Source organism: Homo sapiens, chromosome 21 (genome assembly GCF_000001405.40).
Source record: "Homo sapiens chromosome 21, GRCh38.p14 Primary Assembly".
Taxonomy (NCBI): domain Eukaryota; kingdom Metazoa; phylum Chordata; class Mammalia; order Primates; family Hominidae; genus Homo; species Homo sapiens.
The window spans coordinates 20,768,718-20,789,091 of record NC_000021.9 but is presented as its reverse complement, the minus strand read 5'-3'; the positions used below and the strand labels follow the sequence as shown (position 1 = coordinate 20,789,091).

Genomic DNA, 20,374 nt, shown 5'->3' with positions numbered 1-20,374 from the left:
GATAAGGTAGTGTTCAGAGAGAACCCCTCCTACTTCTATGGAAAAAAAAAAATCAGAGAGATGGGGAGAGAGGAGAAGCTTAGAGAGAGCTGTTGATCCTGAGGCTTATTTCTGAGGTCTTTCAATTTTCTTTATTCCAAAGTACTTAGCATGTCAAAGCACCATATTTAGGGTTATCATTTTCTGAGCCAAGATATTTTTTGCTGAGAGTGTATGTAATAAGGTTACCTAAATTAGTCTGAAACTTGAGTAAAAGTTTCATAGAAAAAGTGACATGGGTTTTGAGAAATAAAGATTGAGGCAATATTAGTGAGACAAAGTGTGGTGAACCTGTAATGTTCCAGCAGTTGGAGACTCTGTGATATGTGAAAATTTCCAGGAACGAAAAGAAGACCCAAAGGACCACTCGATGTGTGGCATGGAATACATCTAGCGAAAGATACAAAGACAAGGCTGTACAGGACATTTCAGGTTGATATAAAATCTTTGCTTGGCCAAACTTCAGCCAGCCTTCTCACTCTTATGTTAGGCCCATCTGTAAAATCCAGTTTTAGCAAGAACCCAGCTAAGTCAGTTTAGCAAGAACACTAATCCTTGATATCTGATCAAGTTTCTCATCTTCCACTCTCCCCTAAGTAATGTCTAATCACCCCGGCCTGTCTTCAGCAAAAATTCTGTTAAGTTTCTCAGTAAAACTGACCCCCACCCTGCTCCTTGCTATAAATTCCCACTTGCCCATGCTACATTCTAAGTTGAACCCAATCTTCTTCCTCCACTGCAAGATTCTGTTGCAGTGGTCCGTATACTTATCATGATGGTCCTGAATAAAGTCATCCTTACTTTGCTCTAACAAATATCATTAAATAATTTATTTTAGTAAGATTATATGGAGGAGGGCATATATCTTACAAGCAAGGAAAATGTCTGAAAGTTCTAAATAGCACTTGATGAGTCCTGTTAAAGAAAATCAGAGCTGGACAGTAGTCAAAGTGGTGAAGTCAGATTTACTCAGAGCTATTGCGATAGGGAAAAGGGACCTCGGTTTAGAACTGGGCCCAAATCTGAATATAATAGGAAGAGTGGGGATTCATAGCCAAGTGGGTCAGGGTTGGTGGATCAAATATTTATAAGCAGAAACATTATGCCTAAGGGGAGACTCTGGCTCTACCAATTAGGTGGATTCTTTGCTGAAGGCAGGGCAGGATGATCAGAAAACGCTCAGGAAGTAGTGTGGGATGAGAACTTTGATCATATACTGAAAGTGATCAGGTATCAAGGGTGATGAAGTTTCCTAAGCTTTTTTTTTTTTGAGATAGGGTCTCGCTCTGTCACCCAGACTGGAATACAGTGGCACAATCATAGTTCACTGCAGCCTTGAAATCTTGGGCTCAAGGGATTCTCCCACCTCAACCTTGCAAGTAACTGAGACTATAGGTTGTGTGTCACCATGCCCTGCTAATTTTTTATATTGTTTTTAAGACAGGGTCTCATTTTGTTGCCTAGGCTCTTATTTAACTTCTGGGCTTAAGCAATCTTCCTGCCTTGGCCTCCTAAAGTGTTGGGATTACAGGAGTGAGCCACCACACCCAGCCAAGATTCTTGCTACAGTTGAGCTATGCAGGCTCAATAATCATCGATCCTAAGGTTAAAGCCTAGAGGGCTTACAGGAGCTTGGCAGAGTTTGGTCAAGGGTAGTCTTTGTTGGTACTAAAATATCTGATATGTGTTTTAATAAGGTATTAATTTAAAGATATATAAGCATCCAAACACTAAATAGAAATTATAATACTGGAATTTCACATATTTCCTCCACGGAACAGGATCAGGATAAATGGTAAGAGGAGTAGGCAGGTATCAGGAAGATGTAGGAAGGAATTTTCTGAGTTGCATGGCTAGCTCTCTGGAAATATCTCTTTTTGAGTCAGGAACAAGCATTTGAAGGGGGCTCCTGAAAATCTAAATGCATTTTGTCTATTGTAGTATTACACAATGAAAATCCTAAATTCTATTACTAAGCACATTAAACCAATGCAGTGTATTTTTAACACTCACTGCCTAGATAAGTACTCTAAAAATTACTTTTTAGTTCATATATATGTAAATATCTATATGAGGCTTAAAGTAGCATTGTTAGTTTTCAAATGTAGTTTGCTAAGCCAATCTCAGATTTACAGTTGGACAGAAAAGGAAAACATAAACAGCTCATTTTTCTGTAAAGTAACATCTTAATCTAGAGAACTGATGCCACTCAGTTGGAGATAAAAAAAAATAAGTAAATTGAATCAATGAATCACTGAATTATTGAAATGAGCCACATTGTCAAATACTTTAATGTCTGTCCATATTAAAACTCCTTTTTGTAGCAATAGATAAATTTGCATGTTTTAGAAGATGAGTTCAATGGTCAAAGGCATAGAGAGTTTACAGGTTAAATAAAAACGAACATACAATTCTCTATTGTAGGCTACTTACTATCTATAAGTATTATTACATTATTATTAACTAATGTAACTGTACTGAAAGTTATTTCTCAGAAAAGGAGAAGGAAAAATTGCTACAATGTTCACCTGTCATTTTGAAATAAACTCTTGTTCCCCAAACTTTGGCTCTGGTGACATTAAAATGGAAAGAAATGTCACTGATTTCTCTTCCCTCTGGACTATGTGTCTTAGGTCACATAGTTCAAATATAGCCTTTCTCAGTAGCTGACAGTGCTATTCTCTTACTGGATAAGATACTACTACTACAGTTACACAAACTAATATATACTTAAATTGAGGTGTAAAAATCTAGTTAAACACTGGAGATAACGGTAATATTGCTTTCTGCCACTTTATTACTGTTTTTTCTATGTTCAGATCAATATTGACACCAATTTCCAAGCACACGAACTCAGAGTCAATGAAAGCTTAAAAGATTTCACATTGACAAATCAGATATGAACAGGTACTAACAAATTGCAATATGAACATGAAAACAGTGGAAATATGCTTCCTTTTCTAGATCCTATCTGCGACAATTAAGAGCACTCTAAGAGGAAAACACATCCCACCACAGTAAGTCATAAGACTACAGAAGCTAGAAACATATGAATATAATATAGGCTGGCTATGCTATATTACTGTGCGTTTCATAAAGCCCCAAGATTGTGAATCTTACCAACTTACTTAGTGTTTTAATCTATTTCTTTTTGTTCTCCCTTATGCGGTTGGCTCTCTAATCAGAATTATTTCTGTATTTTGTCTCTAACAGGCCAACTTTATACCTAGTCCCTTGCCTTTGCAATTGCTCTTATTTTTGCTTCAAATATATTTTGCTTCATTTCCTTCTTATTTAGATGACGATTCTTCACAATATGGCTTAGGTTTCACCTGTTCTACCAAATTGTTCCTGATTATTTTTTTCTTTACTGTAAAAGGAAGCATTCATTTTTGTTATAGTAAAAAAACTCTATGTGTTTATATATGTATTGACTGAAGGTAAGTTAGAGGTTAACTCTGGGTTAACTGCGGTCTACTGGATTAGGCTGGATTTCACTGGACTGATTGTCTCCATATATCTTCTAGTTCCAGAACACAATCTAGGACTGACTACTATCTGGGACCTATTGCTCTTAAGGCAAATGCTTGAAATATATTACATAGTTGCACCCAAAGATCCTGCTGAACTGTCCTGTTAAATGTCAGGTCTACTCTTATTTCACTCCCAAACGAGTAATTTAATCAAATTGCAGTAGTAAAGTATACTTCACTTTCTGGGAGATACTATTATGTAATACTCTTAAAGAAGAGAGAATCAATATTCAAATAATAATGCCAATTACCCCTATCTGTGCTCTTGATGGCACATAATTGATTTCTCCCTGCATGAAAAATACACTCAGTACTTCCCTAGGAATAAAGCAAATGGCTCTTTCAATCAAGACATTATATGTGAGGTCCTGTAGTTCATTATCTCAATCGGGCGCAGATGCAGCTCTTTTTGATCTGGAAACATGAAATAATAATATAAGTGTATTCTCTATCTATTCCCAATATTTGATTGTGAAACAGGGATACTAAAATAAACATTCCCAGTCAAATAGAGGAAGAAGAAGTGATACTCAAAGTCACTGCTTCTTTGCAATTAATCCCCCTGTGACAATTAAAAGTCTGCCATCTCTGAATGTAGGAAATGTTTCCTGATTGGACTCCAGTCCCAGTCCCTGCCTGTTGATTACCCATCCTTGTTTCTCAAAACTTTATTTCTTCTCTCTGAGAGGTCTTCTTTTTTCCTCACCTTCCTTGGCCATATCAGAAAGGCATATGGAGCATATGTCAATCATGGTAGGTGAGCAACTTTGCCTGTTTTCTGCCATTAGGAAATTGAGGGCCTAAGGATTGTTTTGCCTTCTAATTATAGTCCCTTTTAAACTAGGCTTATAGCATTTTTGAAAATATATACCTTGCAAAACCTTGTTGGCTTTTAGCTATTTGATTTTAGTCAGCTCCTTATGCCAATAGTGACACCCACAGTTCTTTTTGAGACATATGACATCTCTTGTCTAAACTTTGTGATAGGTATGGTGATCTTAACAGGCTTCTTTGGGACCACATATCTGGTCTCTTTCCCTTGATCATAAGTAAATGGGAAATCTTAGCAAGGAGCTTGATGACCTCTCACCACTGCTGCCTTGATCTGATGTTTGTCCCAGAGTTTGTCTTCATTGGCTTTTGTGGCTCATGTCTTTTCTCAAGTTTACTTCTTACTGATTGGAGTTGAGTGCATCTTTCAAATGTACAAGTCCTGAATTGTGTGGATTGTCTTCCTGTCTCTTTCATCTCTGACTGCCCACAGCTTAACTTTTTTACAAACCTGTCTCCTTCCTGTGGTATCATAGCAAACACAGCCAGTAACAAATCTAGGAACACAAATTCATGACATCCATTACGTATTTTTATGATAGGCAACAGTCTTATCAAATATTTTGGCTTGAATACCTGGATTGTCATTTGTCTAAACTTCGTTCAGGGTTTTCACACAGCCTGTCAGTCAGCCCAAAGGCAGTCACACCTATTGATTTTATATGTGCTATGGTAGCACTCTTACTGTTGTATTAACTTCTGTATGAGTCCTGCGATTACAACAGTCTGAAAATATCAGCATTTTACAACAACACTTATGTCTCACTCATGGTACAATAAGGATGACAAGTTGGCAGCTGTGCCGCTCAGCTCTGTTCCCCGTGTCTTCCCATTCTTGGAATGAATGAAGCCGCCCCTATCTGGAACATGGTATTCTGTCCTGGAAAAATACAGAACTAAGAGAAGGGCTGAGTCAGACCATGCAGTCATATTTAAAAGTCTGTTCTGACATAAATATCACATTCACTCACATTCCATTGATCAAAGCACACTGCATGATAAAAAGCTAAAAACCACTGAGATAAGTGCATAATTTCTTCCCACAGAATGTCTGAAAAAGTTGTACGATAGTGGGTGGGAATGTATAAGTCTACTATGAGAGAGTATATATGGTACAATAATCTATTCAATCACTATTTCCTTCGATGTTATATCTCTTTATGTTTCAAATTTTGCATTCTATTTTACTTAAAACTTTTGTCCCAGGTTAGTACATGTTGGCTTCCCAAATAGATTGTGACTACTTTGATGCTAACTCTGTATCTTCTACAACTTTTAGTATATTTCAGAGACTACAACACATTTATTTTCCATGAGGATTTATCAGTTGTATTCCAGTCATGTTGGTGGATGAGCTCAATATCCCTGAAGGAGTTCTGCTTACACATGGAGGACCAGTTGCTTCTCAAATATTCTGGTTCATAAAATATTAGAATTACTATGTTCTTATCAGTTCCACAAGGATAGAGGTGAAATAAAAGCTAACTGATTTTTTTTTGGAAGCCTATATATTTTTTTGTTTTAAAAATTGCAACTGAAAATAGACTGTTTTTGTTTTAAAACATAGAAACTATGTTTAGTAAAGTCTTGGAAAATATAAATAGTGAGGAAAATACATTAATAAAATTCATGGAAAGATAACATAAAATATTTTATACAAAAACGTTTTTGCCCACAATGTCAACTATTTGCATTCCTGTTACAATGGAATGTTTGTTTAGAACTACAGAAAAGCTTTTTTTCAATGATATAACCATGTGGATTTGTCGTACCTGATTTTTTGTTGGTAAACTTTAGTTTATGCATTCAAGTGATAAATTGTTATTATGCATATAGCTTTGTGCAGGAAATATTTTGGTCATATATGGATAAAAATGGAGTCTTAGTTTAATAATTTAATTATCTACAAATAAGCTACATAGCAAAAAATGTAAATAATAAAATTTTATTAAACATAAAATTAGAATTATAACAAAATAATATGTACCACTTAGGAGATTTAGGCTAAAGTGACCCACCTGAGGATACAAGAGAAAGTATTACATGAGGAAATCGGCGCTGAGAAGGCTGGCCTCTGTCCACCCCTGTCTTTTTTTTTTTTTTTTTTTTTTTGAGATGGGGTCTCTCTCTGTGCCAGGCTGGAGTGCAGTGGCGCAATCTCGGCTCACTGCTGTTATATATAAAGTTTCGGTGCTGCAAAAGAGATATCCTCCTAATATAAAATGTTCTTTTTGATTTTCAGCAAGGCAAGGTACTTCTATGGAAGGGTGAGCCCTCACAGATGGAGCAATGGGGCGCGCACACCTGAACAAGGGAGGGGAAGGAGTTCTTATCCCTGATGCATGTGACCCCTGCTGCTGTGTCCTTCCCCTATTGGCTAAGGTTAGACCACACAGCCTAAACTAATTCCGATTGGCTAATTCAAAGAGAGCGACGGGGGTGAGTGCTTTGGCGGGAAAAAAATGGTTACACAGGGTGGAGAATAATGAGACAGGGTGGAGCAGGTAGCAGGTAACCGGAATGAGTTATGGTGGAGCAGGTGATCAGGTGATCGGAATGAGTCACGGTGGAGTAGGTAATCGAAAAAGGTTGCTTTACGAGGAAGTAAAGTTTAAAAGTAGAAGGCAAAAAATTGCACATACTGACATATTAATTCTTTGAAGAGAAATTTAGAATTCATATTTAACACTGCAACCTCCATCTCCCGGGTGCAAGCGATTCTGCTGCCTCAGCCTCCCGAGTAGCTGGGACTACAGGCGCCCTGCCACAAAGCCCAGCTAATTTTTTGCATTTTTAGTAGAGGCGGGGTTTCACCATTTTAGCCAGGATGGTCTCGATCTCTCGTAGCAGGTTGTTAACGTTAAGTTATTGTAAACCACGGAGATACTCAAATTTGTCAATCATGTTTCTGACTGTAACTATTTTAGACATTTTGTTATCCACAGAAAATTGTTGTCTTATTTTTATCCTCTTTAAAAGATGATTTATAATCAGCTATATAATTTTGACACGTGCTCTCAAACGCAGGCTTCTGACAGCTTTGGAGATTGTGACATTGGAATAAAGGAAAAACGTACAGGACTCATGAAGCGCTGAAATGTTCACAAATATCAAGCAAAGTAAGAGTTAACTAAACAGACTAAGCTAATATAAAACTGAAGTAATCTTTTTGACACTTGCTTGGAACATTGCTGATCCTTATTTTCTTTTTCAGAGTCAATGAAATTTATTTTGAGCTATTTACATCATTTAATAATTGAGCAAGGTATACTCCTATGAACAAAATTTGGAGCATGTTTGTCTCTCTCTGCCTGGCGTCTTCAGAATTTGGAAACTAGTTGTAAGTATTCCTAACTTACGGCAGTATAGTCATTTGCATCAGTACAATAAGAATCCATTTTCTTTTGCCCACCTCGGCCTCCCTAAGTGCTGGGATTACAGGCCTCAGCCACCGGGCCTCAGCCCCAACCCTGTCTTTTCTGTGGCATTTTTCTTCCTTTTTTCGGGACAGACAGGCGAGCAGTGGCTTCTCGTCCCCCTCCCCTTCCAAGGGCCCCAGACAGCAAGCTGGCCAGCATTCCCCACCACTTACCCACGGAGTCTTCCCCTCCCCTGGCGCAGGGGTCCAGCTCAGTCCAAGCCCCAGAGAAGAAACAGCAATGAAAGTTTCCTCTCCCTGGTGGAGAAACTCATTTGCATAAGAATAGAGGTTCTTCCCCCAGGCATCTTTCCAGCACTCCATTTAAGTTGTCTTGTTTTTGTTTTTTCTTTTCTCCACCAGGTCAGGAGTTAACTTTTATGTGACAAGCTTTACTAGGTCAGGAGCCTATCGCTGTTTATATTCTCTGCAAAGTTTTAATTGTGAAAAAGGATTTGAGGTTGGTCTTAAGCTGTAGTCAATTTGATGTGCTTTGCATGTCTTTCTGTATGGTTCTGTCAGAAAGAGGGTTACCTTAGGATGGAATGCAGGCATAGGACTCCATTGGCCCATTGTTCAAGCCAGTCCCGCAAAATGCTCAAGGAGCTGTTGGCTTAAGGGCAAACTTTACTGCAGGCCTCCATCTTGTTTTGCGTCCTTGGAAGCATGACTGTAACCAAAGGGCAGTGCTTTGTTTTTGCCTCTTCCATTTTACAATGGCAGCCCAGGTTCAATCCTGGCTTAGAGAATGAGTCCTTTCTGGTTTGATATCTGTGTGAACTTTGCCCTTTGTTGATTCTCTTCCCCGCCACAAGCCACCTTGAATTTTCCTTTCTATGAGCAGTTGGGATGTTACTTTTGGTAAAGTTCAAAAGCCAGAAATATTGGCCGCTTGGCATGGCTAAAGTCAGGTAATAACGGATTTAAAAGGATTTTCTTAAAGAGTGCTCAGCTTAATTAAAAGTGGATATCCAAATATTAGGTATACTTAAAAGGCCTTTATGTTTTTCTCTTCTTGGATCTTGCTTTGCTTGTAAAAGGTTTTTTCTCAGTCACTGGAAAATTCCATCCCTGAACACATGTGCAGTAAGGGAAATAAATCAATGTGAATGGCTCAGACTAAGGGCCCACCTGCACACTGGGAGAATGGGTTGGAGCCACCAGGAATTTGCGCCTTATGCAGAGGGGAGGAGCCTGGCCTCTTCTGCTCCTGTGTGGTGGCCTGGTAACCATTTTGCCTTGCCACTGTTAATGCACACATCAGAGGCCCTATGGTAATTTCTGATGGCCTGGGACTCTTTGGGAAAAGCAGAAAAGGTACCACAGATTCCATTTTTGGAGAGACCTCTGTTTTCCTCATGGAGCCCCCAGGAATTAGAGGCAGATGGATCCTTCTCAAAATCTGTTTTTGTCTTCCAGCTATACCTATTTATTAGGCAATAGAAACCACATGCTTCTTTAGCCTTGCTCTTATAGGGCTCAACCCAGAGGCCAATAGTACAATTAGCCAACTGGCAAATAAAAAATCTTATAGCTACTGGATCTTCTTCTGCCTGTCTCGGTAGTTATATAAGTGTTGTGTGCATGGTGTGTATTTGAAAAAAGCTCTAATTAATTGACTTAAAGAAGGATAAGTTCTTGGATCTAATATTATTTAAAGGAAAGGTAAAAGCTCTGGTACCTTTTAGTTCACGTGACTTTAATCTTTGAGAACTAAAAACAGCCTTAAAGATTATTGATAAAATGCAGATGTCATCAAAATATGAATTTTTGCCTAGGATTAAGGTTTGTTTTGAATTAGATAAGGTAAAGTTAAAAGTTCAAACAATTTTTAGAAGAATTGTGAAAGTTAATATTGAAAAAGAAATTCTGTGTGCAAACATATTGACTAAATTCAAAAGGGTATTACATGCCATTTCCATAAACTGAGCATTGAAATAAAAGCACAAAAAGGCTCTCTTAAGGCACTAATCTGCTCTTTAGCAAAGTTTGTAATGGGTTATAAAAGGTTTTTGCTTTTTTAAAATTTTCAAGTCAACATTTTGGAAAAATAAATAACTTACGGTAATCTGGAATTCTATTTCATAACATCAAGTGTTTTAAGCCTCTAACATTTAAGAGTCTTCCTAAAATTGAACTTCAGTTTCAAAAATTATCTTTCCTGACCCCTAGCTTTTGTTGCTACAGAGGGCCCATGGAGCATTTAGAGGATAGGTAAAAAGGATTATTTGACACGTTTAGGTACATGGGATTGCCAAAATGATGTTTAATCTTCTTCAGGTTATATTTTAGGGAATAATATTAATATGTGTTCCAAAATTGTATGGGATATCTAAAATTCTAAGGTGTGAGTGTATGCTGTCAATCACAATTAAGGTTGTTACGTTAAGTTATTGCAAACCACGGAGATAATCAAATTTCTTTGTCAATCATGTTTCTGACTGTAACTATTTTAGACATTTTGTTATTCACAGAAAATTGTTGTCTTATTTTCATCCTCTTTAAAAGATGGTTTATAATCAGCTATAGAATTTTAACACGTGCTCTCAAATGCAAGTTTCTGATAACTTTGGAGATTGTGACATTGGAATAAAGGAAGAGCTGGAATGTTCATGAATATCAAGCAAAGTAAGAGTTAACTAAACAGACTAAACTAATATAAAACTGCAGTAATCTTTCTGACACTTGCTTGGAACATTGCTGATCCTTGTTTTCTTTTTCAGAGTCATGGAAATTTATTTTGAGCTATTTACAGCATTTAATAATTGAGCAAGGTATACTCCTATGAACAAAATTTGGAGCATGTTTGTCTCTCTCTGTCTGCCTGGCATCTACAGAATTTGGAAACTAGTTGTAAGTATTCCTAACTTATGGCAGTATAATTGTTTGCATCAGTACAATAAGAATCCACTTTCTTTTGCAACAGGATGCAATTGGAGAAACTGGTTGTTTTACCAAGGCTTTGACTGGAAGGATATGCTTCCCTTTAAGAAACCAAGCTCAACTTACAGAGCTGATAAAACCCCTTTGGGAAAACTGGCCTCATACCTTGTCTACACAGTCCCCATGCAGGGTTCCTAACGTGTGGTGAGTAAAGCATGTCACTTTCTAACAGGTCCAGGAACCCCATGTTCTTGGGACCTCAAGAAGAGTGGAGTTTACCAATTCACAGGTATTCGAGGGTAAAAACCCATGGGTGGTTTCAGCTTCAGGAAGTCCTATCTGAGATTCCTTGTGGAACAGCGTTCCATCAAAGCCAATTTAAAAAGCCTATGTCAAAATAATTATTCTTGCTACACTCTATGCAAATAAACAGGCCAAGTATAGGACTAAAGTTTATTTTGCAAACAGCTTAGTCCTATCATGATTTGTTTTTAACAAAGATGAAGACTGGAGAAAGAAATTATGTTTCAAAACTTATTATACATTTGTCATTAAATTCTAGACTCATTAGCTGTTTTAAAGTTATTGTCTACATTTTGGACTAACCCTGCTAATTTCTGTGAGCCAACCAGTGATCTCTGGCTGCAGCTCACAAGGAACAAAAGGGATAAGTAATGTAAAACTCTGGATCAATATTTTAATTCTGAGCAATTATTCTGCAAATCCAGTCAGGTAATGGGAATAAATAAGGTGCCCATCACCCAGAAGTTTCTTTTTTGGGAAAGTAAGACCAAGGGAACTAACCAAAGCAAAGCCCCATGCACCCGAATCTTAGCAAGCATAACTACAGCCACCAGTTACCTGGGCATGTCACAAGACATCCTTTTCTCTCCCTTGTTGGAGCACGACTCAATTCCACAGCCTCATCTCAGCATTTGGCTTATGTTAAGGAGTCCATGCAACCCCTGGAGACATATTTTTGTCTCAAACTCAATTCCTAGCTTCAGATCAAAGCCCTAGGAAAAAAACTTGCATCTGAGGGATCCAGAGGCAGATGATAACAGAAGTTAAAATGTACAACATAGGTGAGTATGACTAATTCCTGCCGATTGAGCCAAGCTTCCTGTTTCATGGATAAAGTTCATGCTAGTATCCATGGCATAAATAAGATCTAGGGAACTCGAAGGCTACTGACAGCAGAGGAGATAGGGTGTACATGGGTAAGAGCAGATATTCCCATCTCCTAAGCTCCCCTGTTAACATGGATGAAAGCTGCTTTGACACCCATGGGTGAAACTCTTGTCACAGTTGCCAGAACTCGGAGATGTAAGGACAGAAGAAAGAAAGAAGGGTGCCTCACTTTCTCACATACCCCAGGTATTCACTAGGAAGAGAAGGCAACCTGAGTTGCCTCATTCCCCTCTTTCTACATGAGTAGCCATCCATCTTCAGTCTGTACCACTTTCAAATGCATCCTGAACCCCTGAGACTCCTTTGAAAAAAAAAAAAAAAGCCTTCTTTTTTAGTTTCTCCTCCTCAGTTCTCTCTTCACAGATAGGTAATTGTGTCTCTGTACTATGGGACACTCCCCTCAGATGCATCCTCCAAACTGGGAAAAGTTAATTTCCCAAACATTAAACTGGTTGACTTAGGATTGGGCTCAGGGTAAGGGAACCCAGAAGCCTGACCTGCTGGCAAAAAGGGTAAAAGTGTTTTTTAATCAGTTGGGCTCTTGGACTCCCTCTCTCTGTGCAAACTGGTAAAAGTTCTCAAGATTTTCAAGCAGTCTTTACCTTGATCTTGTTTAATTTTTTTTCTTTTAGAGATAGAGTCTCACTCTGTCACCCAGGCTGGAGTGCGGTGGTGCAATCTCAGCTCACTGCAACCTCCTCCTTCCAGGTTTCAGCGATTCTCCTGCCTCAGCCTCCCGAGTAGCTGGGATTACAGGTGCATGCCGCCATGGCTGGCTAATTTTTTGTATTTTTTGTAGTAGAGACAGGGTTTCATCATGTTGGCCAGGGTGGTCTTGAGCTCCTGACCTCAAGTGATCTGCCCGCCTCGGACTCGCAAAGTGTTAGGATTACACGCGTGAGCCACTGCACCCCCTTGTTTTATTTTGATACATGTTTTTTAATGACCCGGTTTGTCTTTTCTTGCCTTCAGGCCATAAAACTCCAAACAGTCATGCAACCAGAGCCTCAGACAATGGCTTCTTTTGCCAGGGACCCTTGCTTAGGCCTCTGAGGGAGCTCTGACAGCTGTTTTCCCCAAACAGTGCCCCCTTTCAGCACGAAGCAGTTAAGATCAGTCTTCATCCTTATCCTTATTCTAACAGAAGTTAGATGTACTTCTTTAGAGAGGGGAATGATAGAGGCAGGAGGCAGATAAGAGAACCTGCATAGGGTCTTGCCTAAATATGCCCTTGGTGAAAAATTCTGTCCCTTAACACATGCACAGTAAGTGAAATAAATCAATGTGGAACAGCTCAGACTAAGGGCCCACCTGTGCACTGGGAGAGTGGGGTGGAACCACAGGAATTTGTGCCTTATGCAGTGGGGAGGAGCCTGGCATCTTCTGCTCACATGTGGTGGCCTGGCATTCACTCTGTGAGGTGGGAGTCTGCTGGCAAGACCCCCTCTTTTTTCCTGAGAACTTTCTTTTAATAAATTCTGTTCTCCTCACCTTTCAATTGTCTGTGGGCCTAATTTTTCCTGGTCATGAGACAAGAACCCAGATATTAGCTGAAAGAAGGAGCAAAAAATCCTGCATCAGATTGATTCTGGACATTATAATAAATTTGAATTGATAGTATATAAAGAATAAGTTGGGATATAGAAGAGATAAGCTTAGAACGCATGGGTAGGTACAACTCATGATTGGTTTGCAACATAACGTTGTAGAACTCAAAATCAACTATGTAAGATGCAGGGATAAATATAGCTTTTACTGTTCAAAATGTAACCTTTTTAGCAATGACATGGTTTTAGGGTTTATATTAATCATTGATAGGTTTTTATTAATTCAATGAGAGTAAAGGTACTTACTAGTAATTTCATTGAAAAATGACAGTATTTAAGAATCTAAGAAACTTTAAGATATTTAATAATCTGGTATGTGAGAATTGGAGGATTTTTTAAAAATAAGAAATATATATTAGTGACCTCTATGTGATCAAAAGTTAAACAGGTTCAAGAAGCTCCAAACTGAGCCAGAGTTGTTTAAAAATTTCCAAATAGCTCTTCAATTCATGAGCTTATCCCCCAAACCTTACCGATAAGCTATCAGTTTTGGGGCAAAAGTTTTCTCTTAGTTCAAACAGTTACACTTGAATCTAAAGTGCATATACAGGAGAGAAGCTTTATAATTCATTGACACATATTCTAAACAATTTTCCCCATCTAAATCAGGGAATCACTTTTGAAATTGTGATTGAATTACCAACAAATGACTCAGCAATTCTTGTAAGTGTGATTTTATTGAGTTGATGGCATGTCAGCCATGGAAAATTAGTACAATATCAACCTACCCACATATCAATCAAGTCTAATGCTGAAGACATTCAATCTCTTAAAAAATCAACAATGGAATTTTTTCTCAGCAGTTTTAAGTTTAATGGGTTTATATCTCTTGTTCAAGATGAAATAAATTATATTTTTGTTAACCACAAGTGAGCATATTTAGTTAATTAAGTAAATAAAATCTTCATGATCATCTTCAAATTCTCCCTAAAATCTGTTTTAAAGAGTATAAATATCAAAATGTTTATTTCTTTTTAAATTTTTTTCACAGCTAGCAGAGAATCTGATTTACAAACATAGAACACAAACTTCTATAATAAAGCACACAGAAGATGCCTAGTACACTTAGTCTTTTGATAAGAACCTAATTTTCTTGTACATTTCAGATGTCCCACTTGAGCTATTTCTAAATGCTTTTTACTTAAAGGTGGTTAAGACCTTCTCTTATTAGATAAACAAGCTAATCAGGCAAACACACACTTATTAAAAATAGAAATCAGGTGAAATAGAGTGGTCACGCAGATCAAATTTGCTGAGGGGTTACCTGTTAAATAACCTCATTTTTTGTCTTGGAAGTATAAGAGAGGCTGCCTGGTGATTCCACATTGCCAACCAAAATCTCACTGTGGGTCGATTTTCAGAGGCAAATAGAAAGTGACTTGAAAATGTCCGTTATTTATAAAGCCAGAATAATTGTTATTCAGTTTTTTGTTCTTTTACCATTAAGTTTTAGAAATGATTTATTGAGATTCATTTCTGGATATTAATAAAACATATCAATTTTTATATTATTTATAGGGACTGTTTCAAACGATTAATTAATTTTAAGATACTATAACACTTTTATTCCAAGGCTACTGTACAATGTTCCTCTTTTAAAAGTTCCTTAATTCAAAACCTTTTATTTTATAGTAGACTTTTTAATTGATCATGTGAAATATACAATGGATATGCTTACTGTATAAACATCTAATAATTGAAATTTAGAGGAAGAGTCAGATTGATTTAATCAGTAGATAATTTTTAAAAAGTAAATATAGGGAAAATGAGGCTTTTAAATTATAGGAAAATAAAGAAAGTTATGTGATAAATTAAATGATTAAAAATTTTTTATTTCCTCAAGTTTCCATTTAGTGGGTTAGAAACCAATTGCATCACTATCTTCTTTAACAGCTTTTCATTCTAATCCGTTAATTGAATAGATCCATTTTTTAAAATAATTACCTACTCAACCTTTCTGCTAGATAAAATATAAAGGCAAAAACCTCATCTCTGTAACAAATCTTTAGCAATGGAATCATATACATGATTCCAGTAATTTCTCTAGTCTAACATCTAATTATGTACATACGCATTACTAATTTCACAGAAGTGAATGCCAAGCTAATTGGGACTTTTATTAGGCTCTTCATCCACATAGAAAATAAACTCTGGTAAGATTTGCTAGTAAACTGGAATGCTATCTTACATGGAAGGTTGAATGCTTCCCAAGATTTTATTGTTTGAATTTGTTGGTACCATAGCGCAAATCCTATAACTCCGCACACCCTTTTGACTTCTTCAACACTTGTGATGGAGAAAACGATAAAGATTAGATGGAACCAATACATTCTCCGTATTTCCAGCAAAAGCCTCTTTCTTCTTCCCACAATGTCACCATGACAATCAGCCTTAGAAGGCATGAAGAAAAATCTGATTATGTCCTTTGTTTTTGCCTATCGGGTATCATAAAACACCACGAAATTCTGTTATGCTTCATTTCCTGGAAACACATATCTACGTGGATCTTTAAATTGCTTAACCTGACCCCATTGACTTTCACCCCAAATTCTGAAATTCTTCCATTGTATTTTTAAATCGCATGATTTGCTATTAAATAGTGACATGTTTTTAGCCAAAAAATCTCCCCTCATCTTTCCCTCGCATTTTTGTTCCAATGATACTTGGCTTTCACCTGAGATCACGGTTTTCACCTGAAGTTTTTGAAAAACTAAACCTGAAAGTGAACAATTCCTTTTCTGCTCCTCATTTCTGCAAATTTATTATTCCATCTATTTGACCCCTCAAGTTCCTTACTCTCCTCCCCATCACTGCTTTCAAACATTTCTCATCAGATTTTACTACCCATCTCTCCTTCTTTTTTGCTCTTATTTATAGATTTCTGGTCATCTCTCCTTTCTTTCTTTCTTTTTTTTTTTTTTGAGACGCAGTCTCGCTCTGATGCCCAGGCTGGAGTGCAGTGGTGCGATCTCGGCTCACTGCAAGCTCCGCCTCCCAGGTTCCCGCCATTCTGCTGCCTCAGCCTCCAAAGTAGCTGGGACTAAGGCGCCCACCACCACGCTGGGCTAATTTTTAGTAGAGACAGGGTTTCACCGTATTAGCCAGGATGGTCTCGATTTCCTGACCTTGCGATCAACCTGCCTCAGCTTCCCAAAGTGGTGAGATTACAGGCATGAGCCACCAAGCCCAGCCCCAAACATTTATTTTAAGTTAGGGGAGACACATGCAGAATGTGCAGGGGTATACACCTGTTATGCTGTTACATAGGTATATGTGTGCCATGGTGGTTTACTGCACCTATTGACTCATCCTCTAAGTTCCTTCACCTCAATCCCCACTCCCCAACAGGCCCTGGTGTGTGATGTTCCCCTCCTCATGTCCATGCATTCTCATTGTTCAACTCCCACTTATGAGGGAGAACATGTGGTGCTTGGTCCCTGTGTTAATTTCCTGAGGATGATGGTTTCCAGCTTCATCCATGTCCCTGCAAAGGACATAATATCATTCCTTTTTTATGGCTGCATAGTATTCCATGATGTATATGTACCACATTTTCTTTATCCAGTGTATCATTGATGGGCATTTGGGTCGGTTCCCTGTCTTTGCTATTGTAAATAGTGCTTCAATAAACATATGTGTGCATGTGTCTTCATAGTAGAATGATTTATACTCCTCTGGGTATATATCCAGTAATGGGATGATAAATATCATCTTCTTTCTTCAAAAACAAGACTTGGCTGGGCACAGTGACTCACGCCTATAATCCCAGCACTTTGGGAGGCCGAGGTGGGCAGATCACTTGAGGCCAGGAGTTCAAGACCAGCCTGACCAACTTGACAAAACCCTATCTCTACTAGAAATATAAAAATTAGCTGAGTGTGGTGGTGCTTGACTGTAATCCCAGCTACTCAGGAGGCTGAGGCAGGAGAATCGTTTAAACCTGGGATGTGGAGGTTGCAGTGAGCCAAGATCGCGCCACTGCACTCCAGCCTAGGTGACAGAGTGAGACTCTGTCTCAAAAAAAAAAAAAAGATAGTGAAGTTAAAGATATTAAATACTTCATCTCAAATCATTCAGTCAGTAGTTGACGTGGAATTTGGATAAGGTTTGATTGTGGTTTCCAGAGACCATGAATATAACTACTAGCCTACCACAAAATATTGAAAAGAGATCGAACAGTTTGATAAAGAGTCAGGATGAATAAGGAAGGTCATTTTTCTCCTGAGTTTCCAAAATTAAAAGCAAAATTATGCTGATTTTAACTCAGGAAAAAAGATTCTCAGTCTGAGTTTATTTGATAGTGTTAGTCCGTGTGCTGAGGTTACAAAGAAAAACATTGCACGTATTATTCTTTTTAGTCAATTAATTGTTATGATGCGGATGACATTTGGAATGATGGTATCTGTATTTGGGGATTTACATCTAACTTATTTGCTCAAATTTTGCCATTTCTTATTTGATTTCAATCTTTTAAATTATTAAACATAAGATGACAATTCTAAAGAACAACACTGAGTTATAGCAAGAACTTTGGTGAAATGATGTGTGTGTCAGGGACTGTGGAACAGGTTGCCCTGAGTTTGAGATAAATTGGTTAAGCTGGCCAATGTCATTAGTCTGCCTCCTAAGAATTACCAAATATTTTTCTGGGCAAGCACAAACTCCTTATTATAAAATGTGTAATAATTTTTAGGCTTGTATCTAACCCCAACCCTCCCAGATTTAGTCACAGGTCCTCATGAAATATGGAAAAGAGAGACTCAGAACCCATCTAATGGCTGGGTGCGGTGGCTCATGCCTGTAATCCCAGCACTTTGGGAGGCCAAAGCAGGCGGATCACTTGAGGTCAGGAGTTCGAGGCCAGCCTGGCCAACATCGTGAAACCCCATCTCTACTAAAAATACAAAAAAAATAGCCAGGCATGGTGAGGCATGCCTCTTATCTCAGTTACTCGGGAGGTTGAGGCAGGAGAATCGTTTGAATCCAGGAGGCAGAGGTTGCAGTGAGCCAAGATCCAGCCTGGGCAAACCAAGATCTTGCAGAAGAGTGAGACTCTATCTCAAAACAAACAAACAAACATCTGACAGAATGATGGTGGGAATAAAATGCCATAAAATGTGGATTACAGGAAAAGACAATGAGCTGCCTTAGAGAAAATTTGCCTATTAAAGAGAAAGAACGCTGGGGTAGGGAGCTAGACTCAGCAGAGGGCCCGCATGCTAGCATGAAGCAGCCATTCTGGATAGAGTATAAGGTTGTTCCTGAACCTGTCGACATTCTCACCTTGGGAATCCTGGAAAGAATACTTCATAGTAAGATCTGTAACACCTGTGTAACTGCGTGGTAAGATCTTCTGCTTTCTAATGTTTTCCTACACTAGTCAAGCATGGTAAAGGGAATCTATTTTCCTAAGCTCTGAAGAGAGAAGTAAACCCAGAGATATAGAAATGGGCAAAGATGGTGGCGAGCTCAAAGCTGTGGCTGCAGAGTGACTAATTTCTCTAAGGTTGTCAGAGATCAAGTATAGTTCAGTGATGTTAAAACAACAGAAACACTCTTCATATAGCAGATTGCTGCAGATGAATTAATACAGAATAGAAGCAACTGAAGAGTCAATAGCATGATAAAAAAACAATTAGGTCAGAGATCTATAGGCCATCAAACAGTAGGATTTTTATGAGAAATTTCTAACTTTGGGGATTCCTGGAGTCCTAAGCAGAGTAATGGTCTGAGGTTTTTATTTTTGGTAGGTGGTGTCCAGTGATCCAAGAATATTAGGGGCAAACATCTAAAGTGACTTTTCTATGATTCTTATGCATCTAAAGTGTCTTTTCTATCATTCTTCAGCAATTAGTTTTTATGGTACATTTGTTTACACCAAGTAAAATATCTGGTAAACATTAGTGATCAAGAAATATTGATTCTTTCCCTCACAATTCTATAATCCATCCTAAGTAGAAAGTAGTTTTAATGTATAAACTTTTATTAAATGAGTTATATTGTATGAAGCCATATTTTTTGGATGAGAGAAATAAATTTTGTGTTTTATTTTTTTGAGATGAGGTCACAGTCTGTCACCTAGGCTGGAGTGCAGTGGCATGATCATGGCTCACTGTAGCCTCAAACTCTTAGGCTCAGGTGAGTCTCCTGCCTCAGCCTCCCGAGTAGATGGGACTATAGGCATACACTACTATGCCTGGCTAATTTTTTATATTTTTTTGTAGAGGAAGGGTTTTACCATGTTGCACGTAATAGTCTCAAACTCCTGGACTCAAGCCATCTGCCCCCATTGGCCTTCCAAAGTGTTGGGATTATAGGCATGAACCACCATACTTAGCCTAGAAATAAATTTTGGTTGTCTAATGTATCCTCTACTTTTTTCTCCACTAAAAGCCAGAATTCCATTTAGTTGAACCAACTACATAAATCCCCACCATGGTTTTGTAAACTCTACTTGCTTATAGTTAGCCCAAATATAGTAAAAACTGTCAACTTTCTACCTTCTTTTGTAGCGCATAAACTTGTCTTAGAAAGTAAATTTAAGGATTGTTTTATTTTTCCATTACTAACTGTTTGTGAAAACCTTTCTACAGTGTCAAAACAAAGACTTTATTGAAGAAAAGTGAAATAGAAAAGGACTAAAAAAATAAAGTTGATGGATTAGCTCGGTATTTCTCAGCAGAAATTTTTTATTCTCTTATGCTTGGTAGTTTCTTATCTCCGTGGACTATCCTCTAGTTTTTATCAGTGACCTTAGGGACACTTCTCTACAAATACTTCCAATTCTATAGACTCTTTTGGCAGACCTCTCTGATACCTTTGGCTCTTTATCTCTGGATTCTATCAGAAGCTTTCAAGAGAGCTGTTTTGCA

At 38.0% G+C, this 20,374-nt stretch overlaps 1 long non-coding RNA gene across 4 annotated transcripts in view; it reads left to right on the top strand.

The window, feature by feature from the left end:
* LINC00320 (long intergenic non-protein coding RNA 320) overlaps positions 1-20,374 on the top strand; it is a 60,519-nt gene that overhangs the window by 14,017 nt on the left and 26,128 nt on the right. Inside the window, exons 2-7 of one of the 4 annotated variants that reach the window (NR_024090.2) lie at positions 3,004-3,056; positions 6,646-6,785; positions 7,431-7,522; positions 7,618-7,743; positions 10,330-10,449; positions 10,545-10,674. This is a non-coding gene — a long non-coding RNA (long intergenic non-protein coding RNA 320). Of the gene's footprint in view, positions 1-3,003; positions 3,057-6,645; positions 6,843-7,430; positions 7,523-7,617; positions 7,744-10,329; positions 10,450-10,544; positions 10,675-20,374 lie in introns of all 4 variants that reach the window. The other 3 variants (NR_109786.1, NR_109787.1, NR_109788.1) reach the window with 3 other exon arrangements.